The sequence below is a fragment of the Homo sapiens genome, chromosome 1 (assembly GCF_000001405.40).
Source record: "Homo sapiens chromosome 1, GRCh38.p14 Primary Assembly".
Taxonomy (NCBI): Eukaryota; Metazoa; Chordata; class Mammalia; order Primates; family Hominidae; genus Homo; species Homo sapiens.
The window spans coordinates 115,987,029-115,999,216 of NC_000001.11; the positions used below are offsets into that span (position 1 = coordinate 115,987,029).

The 12,188-nt window shown below is 38.4% G+C and overlaps 1 protein-coding gene across 22 annotated transcripts in view, besides 1 other annotated feature; it reads left to right on the top strand.

Moving 5' to 3' along the window:
* The window catches only part of SLC22A15 (solute carrier family 22 member 15), a 93,542-nt gene that overhangs the window by 10,516 nt on the left and 70,838 nt on the right, over positions 1-12,188 (top strand). For 19 of the 22 annotated variants that reach the window (XR_002957027.2, XR_002957032.2, XR_007061934.1 and 16 more), the window contains one exon: positions 5,003-5,215. The exons of 1 other annotated variant lie outside the window; for it this stretch is intronic. Coding sequence is in view for 10 of the 21 variants with exons in the window: in NM_018420.3 (NP_060890.2) it covers positions 5,003-5,215 (213 nt within the window). In the remaining 11 variants the exon portion in view is untranslated. Of the gene's footprint in view, positions 1-5,002; positions 5,216-9,845; positions 9,893-12,188 lie in introns of those variants that run through there. 2 more of the 22 variants (XM_047424417.1, XM_047424413.1) reach the window with 2 other exon arrangements.
* Positions 1,491-1,652: a silencer, noted in NCBI's record as "fragment chr1:116531140-116531301 (GRCh37/hg19 assembly coordinates)". NCBI's record gives its function as "represses an EF-1alpha promoter that drives an FKBP-Casp9 reporter gene in an ReSE screen in K562 erythroleukemia cells {active_cell/tissue: K562}" and the evidence as "EXISTENCE:reporter gene assay evidence [ECO:0000049][PMID:32094911]".

Consider the following 12,188-nt stretch of genomic DNA (forward strand, 5'->3'; position numbering starts at 1 on the left):
TTAGTTAGCACCTGGACCATGTGGTGGAGGATCTGGAATGCTAGAAAACTTATCATTTATCCATTAATACGTTTTGACTGGAAGAGTTTCATGAGGAGTTTCAGGGAGATTGATCTGGTGTCATAATGTAGATAGATTTTTTTTTTTTTTTTTTTGAGACGGAGTCTTGCTCTGTCACCCAGGCTGGAGTGCAGTGGCGCAATCTCGGCTCACTGCAAGCTCCGCCTCCCGGGTTCACGCCATTCTCCTGCCTCAGCCTCCCCAGCAGCTGGGACTACAGGCGCCTGCCACCACGCCCAGCTAATTTTTGTATTTTTATTAGAGATGGGGTTTCTCTGTGTTAGCCAGGATGGTCTCGATCTCCTGACCTTGTGATCTGCCTGCCTCGGCCTCCCAAAGTGCTGGGATTACTGGCATGAGTCCAGCCAATGTAGATAGATTAAAATGAGGAAGAAACAGTATTTAGAGGCACCAGTTACTCCGGGTGTGTTAGTGTGTCTCAAATTTTACACAAAAAAAAATAGCTAGTATTAGTAAGTCAACCAACAAATATTTATTGAATACCCACTTTGTGCTGGACACTGGGCATATAATCCTGTCTTCATGATTATGGTCTTGCTTATGTAATGCTTTTGATTGAGTCAATTAGGTAACTGAGTACTAAATGCATAAAAAAACTAAAGGTAATGGCAACAATAAAATAATCTTTGATTCCTCCCCTCCCTTTATTTTCTCCGAAAAAAGCTCTGGCCCCAAAGTTAAGTGGTTCTCGTTCTCATCCTGGTTTTGCAATTAGTGTTTTATATAACATTGAACAATTTACTTAATCGTTCTGTATCTCATTTTTCCTACTTAAAAAAATAAACATTGTACTGAACCATGACTTCACAGCACAAGGTATTGTGATGAGATAATTTATAGGAGACTTTTTTGGTTTCCTGAGAAGTATTATAAGAGCTCTTAATGGTGTTAATATGAAATTACTTTAAAAACCTTCACTTCTTGAAACTTTAAAAATTTCAATCCCCTAGTGCATTTTAGTCATTTTTCTAATTATAATTACATTGAAAGGGGGAAAAAAATCCAGCCATCTGTGGCACTTGTTCTCCTTCCCTAGAGGTAGAGCTAGAGAAGATAATGATTTATTTGAGATGTTGTTATTCCCACTCTGGTAGACAATGGATAGTGGTTGCTGTTTGTGGCTTTAAGGCCCATCTGCTGATGGGTGCAATTTTATTAGGCAAAAATATGTGGGTGAATGTGTGCATGGTAGTTGTAGATAACAGTGGAGAGAAGAACGAGCGAATATTTTTGTTTTTTGGGGGGGAAAGGAATACTATGTGAGCTGTGTGAATTTGTCACAGCCAAAGATAGCAAACCAAAGAGAACCACCCCCATATTCTATGTGTAGGTGATTCTTCCCCATGGCTAGTTAATGCTAAGCCATCTTTGACTTTCTATGACCATATGACCCTTGTGTAAGTGACTGCAGAATAGAGGATCTATTTTTTGGGGGGGGACTCTCTCTGTCACCCAGGCTGGAGTGCAGTGGTGCAATCTCAGCTCGTTGCAACCTCCGTCTCCTGGGTTCAAGCAGTTCTTCTGCCTCAGCCTCCCAAGTAGCTGGGATTACAGGCATGTGCCACCATGCCCAGCTAATTTTTTTTTTTTTTTTTGTATTTTTAGTAGAGACAGGGTTTCACCATGTTGGTCAGGCTGGTCTTGAACTCCTGACCTCAAATGATCCACCCACCTTGGCCTCCCAAAGTCCTGGGATTACAGGTGTGAGCCACTGCACCGGGCTGAGGACCTAGTATTAATCTGAATGCAGTGTTTAAGCATTGCCTCTCTGAGCTAATTTCTCATAGTACCCCTTTCATAGCATTTATGAAACAGTATCATTACTGCTTGCCTCTTCTGGCTCCCTTATGGTTAGCAAAAGTAAGCATGACTATGGGTATTGGAGGAGACAAAAAGGCTAACACCGTTTTATTGAGGCTGGCACTGCATAGAAGAGTTGCAAGTTTCTGACTCTTCTGGTGGCATAAAGCTGTGGACCTGTGTGTTCTGTGAGGGCCTTGGATGTGTGTGTGTGTGTGTGTTTGTGTGGGTGTGTGTGCATGTGCAGGAGGTGGGTGAGGAAGACATTGTGAAGAGTGGGAGGAGAACAGAGAAGATGAGAAAAGTGGAAAGTGCTTATTCTGCCTGCAGGTTGCTAGAAAGAAAACTGGTTAATACTGATTAATACAGATAATACTGATTAGGTAGATTTCACTATTCCCTACATTATGAATAAGGGTATATAGCAACATCACTTTATTTTTGAGTTGTTTTCTCCAAACTGGCTTTATTGAGAATGGTGTCCTTCATAATGGACCATGCCTCAGATTAGAGGACCCTTTGGAGCATTTCTTCTTTTATCTGTAAGGTTGCTTATCCTAGAACAATCCAGATAAAAATATGATATGTTGGCCAGGCACAGTGGCTCATGCCTGTAATCCCAGCATTTTGGGAGGCCGAGGCAGGTGGATCACTGGAGATCAGGAGTTCAAGACCAGCCTGGCCAACATGGTGAAACCTCGTCTCTACTAAAAATACAAAAATTAGCTGGATGCATTGGCAGGTACCTGTAATCCCAGCTACTCGGGAGGCCGAGGCATGAGAATTGCTTGAATCCGGGAGGCAGAGGTTGCAGTGAGCCAAGATCGCACCATTGTACTCCAGCCTGGGTGACAAGAGTGAAACTCAGTCTCAAAAAAAAAAAAATGATATGTTAACATATATTCAAAAGAAACTTTGAATAGTGCCTCGCACATAGTTAGCATTATAAAGGCATGTGCTATTATTGGTATTCCATCCTGGTCATTTATTCATTCACATGTTGAGTGTGTAGGCCCTGGGTTATTTGCTTTGGAAGCTCAAAGGTGAATCAGACTTAGATCCTGCCTTTAAGGAGAGTATATTTCAATAGAACAAAATAAAATAAGCAAATACATAAATATAATACAGTGAAGGAAATGGTTCATGCTCTCAAAAGTCTAGATGGAGCTTTAGGAGTGAGCAGCAAGAAACAGGAGAGGACTTCTGGAGGGCTTGGAGACACAAGCAAGACAGTAAGGAAGTCTTCATGGAGGAGGTGATATCTGTGTTGCGTCTTGGAGGATGGGGAAAGCTCAAACATTTGCAGCAGGAGAAAGTGCCTTCCAGGCGAAGCGAATGGTATGAATAAAGGTAGGAAAGGGTACATTTAGAAAACATGACGAGTTTGCTTTGCCTAATTGAAGGCTGTGCATTCACTAGAACGTGTGTTTCGAGTCCTCTCCTCCCGAGTTCCCTTGCCCCATGTTTTTCATTGCTTTATACCCATCAATTAAATTTCAGCAGAGTATAATAATCAGGGGCAGTTACTAAATGGGTGTAAGTGGCTTTGTAATTATAGCTGCTGCTAAATGTGTAATCTATCTGTTCTTATAATTAGTAAGGTTTTTATTTTTATAAGCTGATTACCTCCTATTCGAAAACTTCTGTAACAGTATGCAAATAGGAGCCAGGAAACATATAAGTCTAGGAGCTTACTTTCCCTTGCCCTGTATAATAAATCACCCAGCATCCTGACCCATGGCAGCTTTGTACCTCTCCAGAGAGGCCCACCATTGATGGACTCAAAGTAGATTGAGAATGCCTTAGATCCTCTCAGCCTTACCCAGAATGGAAACATCACATCTGTTTTTTTGTTTTTTGTTTTTTGATACGGAGTCTTGCTCTGTCACCCAGGCTGGAGTGCAGTGGCGTGATCTCAGCTCACCGCAACTTCCACCTGCTGGGTTCAAGCGATTCTCCTGTCTGAGCCTCCCGAGTAGCTGGAATTACAGGTGCCCACCACCACACCCGGAAAATTTGTGTATTTTTGGTAGAGATGGGGTTTCACCATGTTGGCCAGGCTGGTCTCAAACTCCTGACCTCAAGTGATCCACCTGCCTCGGCCTCCCAAAGTGCTGGGACTGCAGGAGCGATGATTAAAGGTATTTTAAGACATCAAGTTCTAAGTTAATAGGGATAGTTTATTTAGATTGTCTTACTCTGGAGCAGACTAATTATGTGTTTTCTTAATAAATGTTAAACTTGAAATAATCGTCCAACAATGGGAGTTAATACTAAAAATCCATAGCACAAAAAGATTGCAATAGGGCTTGACTTATAAACCCAATTTCAAGTAGCTGTAAAGCCCAGAACAATCAGTGACAAATGGCATATATGTTTAATAAATATTTCTTGAATGAATGTGTGAAGTATATTTCTTGAATGAATGCGTGAAGTATATTTTCTTTGCAGGGGGACAACTATGGTTAGATCAAACCAAGACTAGGTACAACTCAGGGTTACAAAATGAATATCTATAGCTGGGACTTTGAATTTCTTAAAATCTTATTATGAACTGTATATCATATTTTAAAATAGTGCCTACTCTAGTACATATTATGCTTACCTGCTTTAGTAAAACAATACAATATATATTGTTTTCTGAGACAATTATACTACAGAAAGTCTCTTGTTTAGATCATGAATCCAAGGTCAAGATGCTCCTAGCCCCCTAGTGAATGCTTATCTGACCTGAAGATATAGTGTTGAAGAGATAATAGCTGGAATGTTACTCTTTTAAATCAGAGCAAATAATGTTTTCCCTGCCCTTCTACTTTTGAACCATATAAGCATATAAGCATATAAGCAGTGTCTTTAGCATCAGAAATATCTCAAAGAAAGAAAAACCTCTGAAAAAGTATAAAGTGTTTTACAAGTGGGATTGCCAATGATTCTGTTCGTGGTAGATCACAAAGGTTCTTTTTCATGTTTTTTTCCTTTGTTTCTGATGTGGCTTATATCTGTAGCTCATAAAAATACAAAAGCAAGACACTGATCTTTCAAGGTTTGCAAGCCTGCTAAGTGTCTTCAACATTGATGGCAAATATCTGCAGTGTTTGGTTCTGTGTGTTTGCTCTTTCAGCTCTACGTGGCCACGGAGGCCATCCTCATTGCACTGGTTGGGGCCACGCCATCCTACCACTGGGACCTGGCAGAGCTCCTGCCAAATCAGAGCCACGGTAACCAGTCAGCTGGTGAAGACCAGGCCTTTGGGGACTGGCTCCTGACAGCCAACGGCAGTGAGATCCATAAGCACGTGCATTTCAGCAGCAGCTTCACCTCCATCGCCTCGGAGGTAACAACAGGCTGTTTCAATCACTAAATAAATGTCTCTCTTTGTCCACATAGAGCTACTCTTTTTGTCTTGCTGATTTAAATATCAGCCACATTTTCAAATAACTTTCTAGTAAATTTAAAAGTTAAAGGTTTTAATGTATCAAAGGAGAACATTCTATGAGAACACATTCCTTTTCCTCTTACTACACGTGGGAGAAGCTTGAATCTTTCCAAACTAGTTAGATGAAAAGATACAAACTCCAAAAGAACAGTATGTTGATTATGATGTCCTTTTAAAAAGTGAATTAAAACTTTAATCTCTCTTTATTAAATATGCAAAAATTAACACAGGGAAATGTAACGATTCATATATAACACCCATAGTTCTTTTTTTCTTTTCTTTTTTTTTTTTTTTGAGACGGAGTCTTGCTTTGTTGCCCAAGCTGGAGTGCAGTGGCGCAATCTCGGCTCACTGCAACCTCTGCCTCCCGGGTTCAAGCAATTTTCCTGCCTCAGCCTCCCGAGTAGCTGAGATTACAGGCACCCACCACCATGCCTGGCTAATTTTTTTTTGTAGTTTTAATAGAGACGGGATTTCACCATGTTGACCAGGCTGCTCTTGGACTCCTGACTCAGGTGATCCACCCACCTCGGCCTCCCAAAGTGCTGGGATTACAGGCATGAGCCACCGCGCCTGGCCTATAGTTCATTTTTAAGTCAAGTCCTGTGTGTAGACCATATGGGGCACCTTGACTATACAATGTAAAAGACAGTACCACTTAGTATGGTCAGGAAGCCTTACTTTCAAGGGGGCTTTGCTGGCCAGAGAGAAGTTTCTGGTCCTTCTGAGCCAGCCAGAGGTAAAGAATCTGAGGGTAGATGGTCTGGTGAAGAGAAACCCTGGATGGGGGCAGATCTCATGGTCAGCTGGAAGGCACTGGTGTTGGTTGTTAAAATGTAGAAATACTCTCCTTTCCTTTGCCTGCTCCTCTGAAGCTACCCATGTGTCTGTTGACACTGTTGACACCCTGGCCCCATCCTTGGACCCTGTGATCCAGTTAATGGGGTAAATGGGTGGTACAACAGGGGGCCTCTGGGACCCTTGCCAGCTCTCACTTCTGGTTGCCATGCTAGTTAGCTCTCCCAAAATTCCTTAACCACTCCTTCCTGGAAGCCACTCTCCTGTGTGTGTGAGTGTGTGAGAGTGTGTGTGTGTGTGTGTGTGTGTGTGTGTCTGTCTGTCTGTCTGTCTGTATATATGTCTGCACCATGGCCTAGCCAGCCTTACCTGTTGCTGACTATTTTGATAATCCTGCTTTGGATGAGGCATACTAAAAAAAGGGGAGACATGCCAAGGATGATGTTTTCTTGGCCTTTTCTTAGGAGTCCTCCGTGGAGTGCCCCACTCCTAAAAGTTACTATACTAACTTTTTGAGGGACCACCAAAGCAGCATTTCTGATTGCAATTCCTGACGTTACTCTTCACTTAGAAACCTCCAATGATTCTCCCACAGCACACAGAACACAGTAGAGACCCTATGAGTTACATTCAGGACCTCTCACACTTCGTAGCTTGGTCCAGGTGTACTTTTCCAGCCCCACTCTGCACTTTACCCTGCTCTCACCCCTATGGAAATATTTACTATTTCCCACACATGACCCAAGCTCTCAGCATAACCTATTATTGTCAGGAAAGCCCTCACCGCTTGCCCTGGCTTCCACCTGGTGAAATCCTTATCTACCCTCTAAGGCTCACTTTCAGTGTCACCTTCCCCGTGAGTCTTCCCAGCCAACTCCCCAGGAGAAAATACGCTTTTGTTCCTGTTCCAGTACTAATTTATTTGCACGTATGTTACAGACTGTTGTTTGTGGTTCAGCTCTAAAAGTTCTTTGAGGTCAGAAACCATGTTTTGGTCATCTTTGTATTTCCGTGGCCTATAGCAACCACCAGCCCCACCACCACCACCACCACCACTACCACCACCATTGCTACCACTCCTAACCTATGAAAATAACAAACAGCTTTGTTTAATGATTATGATATGCCAGGGATTGTGATATATGTAAAATTTAATTATCAAAGTAATTCTATGAGGTAGGAATCATTTCCCCCATTTTACAGATTTAAAAAATGGAGACCCCTTGAGGTCAGTGTTAGCTAATAATGGCAGAGCTGAGATTTGAAGCTAAATTTGTCTTAACTCAGAAGCCTGTGCTCTTAATTATTGTGCTTTTTAGGAATATATCCAATCCAAATTGGCATATATATCTCTTAGGTTCTTTTTGGTGAGTAATTATAGCCAAATACTTTTTAAAACCTTTTTTATTTGGAAATAATTTCAAATGAAAGAAATTGCGAGAATAGTACAAAGAATCCCCTTATCTCTTTTAGTTTCATCTATTGTTACTAGTTTGCCTCATTAGCATTATTATTGTCTCTCTGTTTTTTCCTAAGCCATTTGAAAGTTGCATATATTAGTGCTCTTTTATGCCCAGATACTTCAGCGTGTATTTACTAAAAACAAGGATGTTCTCTTCATAACCACACCACAGTTATCAATGTCAAGAAATTCAACATTGATACTATAGTTTTATTTAAACTATACCTAGTTGTATGCCATCCATACCTAATTTTGTCACTTAACCCAATAACATCCTTGATAGCATTGTATTTTCCTCTCATGTATTGAATCCAATTCAGGATCACACATGACATTTAGTTGTCATAGTTCTTTAGTATCTTTTGACCTTCAGCCTTTTTTTTTCTTTTATAACATTGATATTTTTAAGCATCTATACCTTTTCTCTTTTTCAAAATAAGAATGTTCTTCATTTTGGATCTGTCTGATGATTCCTCATTCGGTTTGGTTTTGCATCCCAAGTCAGAATAGTACATAAATAATGTATCCCTCTCAGGGTATCATATCAAAAGACACACTATATCCATCTGCCCTTAGTGGTGATGTTAATTTTGATTAGCCATTCCAGGTATTGTCTGATATTCTCCCCTGTCCCTGTCAGTTACTATCTTTCTTTCATTTCGAGGAATAGAAAACTATGGGGAATCCCTTTCAGGTTATATAAATTTGCTATTTCTTATCACTGCAACCTTTGCCTCCTATGTTCAAGCAATTCTTCTGCCTCACCCTCCCAAGTAGCTGGGATTACAGGCACCTGCAACCAATGCCCACTAATTTTTGTATTTTAATAGAGACAGGGTTTCACCATGTTGGCCAGGCTGGTCTCGAACTCCTGACCGCAGGTGATCTCCCCTCCTTAGCCTCCCAAAGTGCTGGGATTATAGGTGTGAGCTACTGTGCCCAGCCCAAAATGGTTATTTCTTAACTCCAGCACTTCCATCACATTTACTAGCTTGCATACTTTCTACTGTAAACAAGAGCCCTTTCTCTCCCTTGTCTGTCTGTCTGTCTCTGTCTGCCTATTTGCCTATATATTTATCAACCATATGTACATAATCTTGGATTCCTATTCTTTTCAATGATTTGTAATTTATTACAGCTCTGAATTATTTTGGAACTCAAATTTTTCCTAATTTACCAGTGGGAACCTCTTCAAGCTGCCTCTTGTGTCCTTTTATTTTTAATTAAAATTTTTATTTTGAAATAATTGTGGATTTGCATGCAGTTGCAAGAAATAATACAGAGAAATTTTGTGTACTCTTTACCTAGTTTCTTCCAATGGGGAAAACCATAGTATAATATCATAACTGAGATATTAACACTGACACTGCTAAGACACAAAACATTTCCATCACCACAAGGATCCTTCATGTTGGCCTTTTAGAGCCACACCCACTTTCCTCCCATCCCTTACCCTTTTCTTAATCGCTAGTAACCACTGATCTGCCTTCTTATACTATGAGTCTTTCATTTTAAGGATGTTGTAAAAATGGAATCATATTGTAGAAGCCTTTTGAGATTGGCTTTTTTTATTCAGCATAATTATCTGCAGATTCATCTAGGCTTAGTTTTATTACTGTAGTTATATAAGCAGATTTGGAATGGGATAGATTGCCGCTTTATTCTTTTTCAAAAGTATTTTAGCTATTTCAGTTCCTTTGCCTTTCCATATAAGTTTTAGAATAATTTTGTATATATCTACCGAAAAATATTTATGAGATTTTGATAGAAGTTGTGTTAAACCTGCATATCAATTTGGGGAGAATCAACGTCTTTACTATGCTGAGTCTTCCAATACATCAACACTATGTGTTATTTTGAGTGTCTTTGATTTCTTTCATCAATGTTTCATATCTTTACTATGCAAACCCTGAACATGTTTTTAGATTCATTAGGTTTTAGATTCATTCATTAGATTCACATCTAAATATTTCTTTTTCTTTTTTTTTTTTGAGGGATTATAAATGGTACTGTATTTTAAATTTCTGTTTCTACATGTTTATTGCTAGTATAGATAAATATTGTACAATTCATTTTTATATGTTAATCTTGTATCCTTTGATCTTAATCTTGTATTATTTCTTTTGGGAAATTTTAAAATTATGAATTTAATTTCTTTAATAGTTATAGCGTGATTCAAATGATATATTTTGTATTGTATGAGTTGTGTAGCTTGTGCTTTTCAAGGAGTTAGTCCATTTCATCTAAGTTGTCGCTTATTAATTCTAGGTGCTTTTTGACGATTCTTTGGGATTTTCTTGACAGTCATATAAAAAGTAAGGACAGTTTTTTTTTTTCCATTTCCAATCTGTATGCCTTTTGTTTTACCTTATTCCTCTGGCTAGCATGTCTAGCACTGTGCTGAATAAAATGGTAAGAGTGGACATCCTTGCCTTGATTCTGATCTTAGAAGGGATACACTCCGTCTTTCACCATTAAGTGCAGTTTTAGCTATAGGTTTTTATAGATACTCTTTATCAAATCGAGGAAGCCTCCCATAATTCCAACATTTTTTATGCCAATACCATGCTGCTTTGGTTACTATAGCTCTGTAGCATAATTTGAAGTCAAATAATGTGATTGCTCCAGTTTTGTTGTTGTTGTTGTTGTTGTTGCTCAGGATGGCTTTGGCTATTCTGGGTCTTTGGTGGTTCCATATAAATTTTAGAATGATTTTTTTCTGTTTCTGTGAAGGTGTCATCAGTATTTTGATAGAGATAGCATTGAATCTGTAGATTGCTTTGGGTAGAATGGACATTTTAACAATATTGATTCTTCCAATCCATTAACATGAAATATCTTGCCATTTTTTTGTGTCCTTTTCAATTTCTTGCATCAATATTTTATAGCTTTCACTTTGGAGATCTTTCACTTCTTTAGCGAGGTTTATTTTTTAGTATTTTATTTTATTTGTAGCTTTTGTAAATGGGATTACTTTCTTGATTTCTCTTTCAGATTGTTCACTATTAGCATATAGAAATGCCCCTGATTTTATATGTTCATTTTGTATCCTGCAAGTTTACTGAATTTGTTTCTATTCTAATAATTTTTTGATGGAGTCTTTAGTTTTTTTTCAGATCATATCATCTGCAAACAAGGGTAATTTGACTTCTTCCTTTCCAATTTGGATACTCTTTATTTCTTTCTCTTGTCTGATTGCTGTAGCTAGGACTAACAGTACTAAGTTGAAAAATGGGGTGAAAATAGACATCCTTGTCTTGTTCTAGATCTTAGAGGAAAGACTTTGTTTTCTGTGTCCAGTGTGATACTAGCTGTGAGTCTGTCATATATGGCTTTTATTATGTTGAGGCATGTTCCTTCTATACCCAGTTTTTTTGCAGATTTTTATGAAGGATGTTGAATTTTATCAAATGCTTTTTCAGCATGAATTGAAATGATTGTATGGTTTTTGTTCTTCATTCTGTTGATATGATGTATCACATCAATTTACATATGTTGAACCATCCTTGCATTCCTGGGATGAATCCCACTTGCTCATGATGGATGACCTTTTAATGTATTGTTGAATTTGGTTTGCTAGTATTTTGTTGAGAATTTTTGCATCAATATTCATCAGATGTATTGGCCTCTAGGTTTTCTTTTTTTTGGTGTGTCTTTGTCTGGTTTTGGTGTCAGGGTAATACTGGCCTCGAAGGATCATTTTGGAAGTAGAATCAGCTCTCTTCCTCTATTTTTTGGAGTACTTTGAGTAGGATTGGTATTAGTTCTTCTTTAAATGTTTGGTAGAATTCAGCAGTAAAGCCAATGGGTCTCTGGCATTTCTTTTCTGGGAGACTTTTTATTATGTCTTTGATCTGGTTACTTGTTATTGATCTATTTAGGCTTTGGAGTTCTTCATGGCTCAATCTTGGAAAGTTGTATGTGTCTAGGAATTTATGCATTTCTTCTAGGTTTTCCAACTTATTGGCATATAGTTGCTCATAGTAGCCTGTAATGATCCTTTGAATTTCTGTTGTGTCAGTTTTAATGTCCCCTTTTTCATCTCTGATTTTATTTATTTGGGTCTTCTCTCTTTTTTTCTTAGTTTAGCTAAAGGTTTATTGGTTTTATCTTTTCAAAAAAACAACTTTTCATTTTGTTGATCTTGTGTACTTTTTTAAAATTTCAATTTCATTTATTTCTTCTCTCATCTTTATTATTTCTTTTCTTCTACTAATTTTGGGTTTGGTTTGCTCTTGCTTTCTAATTCTTTAATCTGCATCATTAGGTTATTTATTTGAAGTTTTTCTACTGTTTTGATGTAGATGCTTATTGCAGTAAACTCTCCTCTTATTACTGCTGTATTCCATGGATTTTGGTATATTGTATTTCTATTTTCATTTGTTTCAAGGAATTTTTAAATTTTCTTCTTAATTTCTTCTTTGACCCACTGGTCATTCAGAAGCATATTGTTTCATTTCCTTGTGTTTGTATCGTTTTCAAAGTTCCACTAGTTACTGATTTCTAGTTTTGTTCCATTGTGATTGGAGAAGATATTTGAAATGATTTTAATATTTTTGAAATTTTTAAGACTTGTTTTGTGGCTAACATGTGGTCTATCTTTCAGCATGA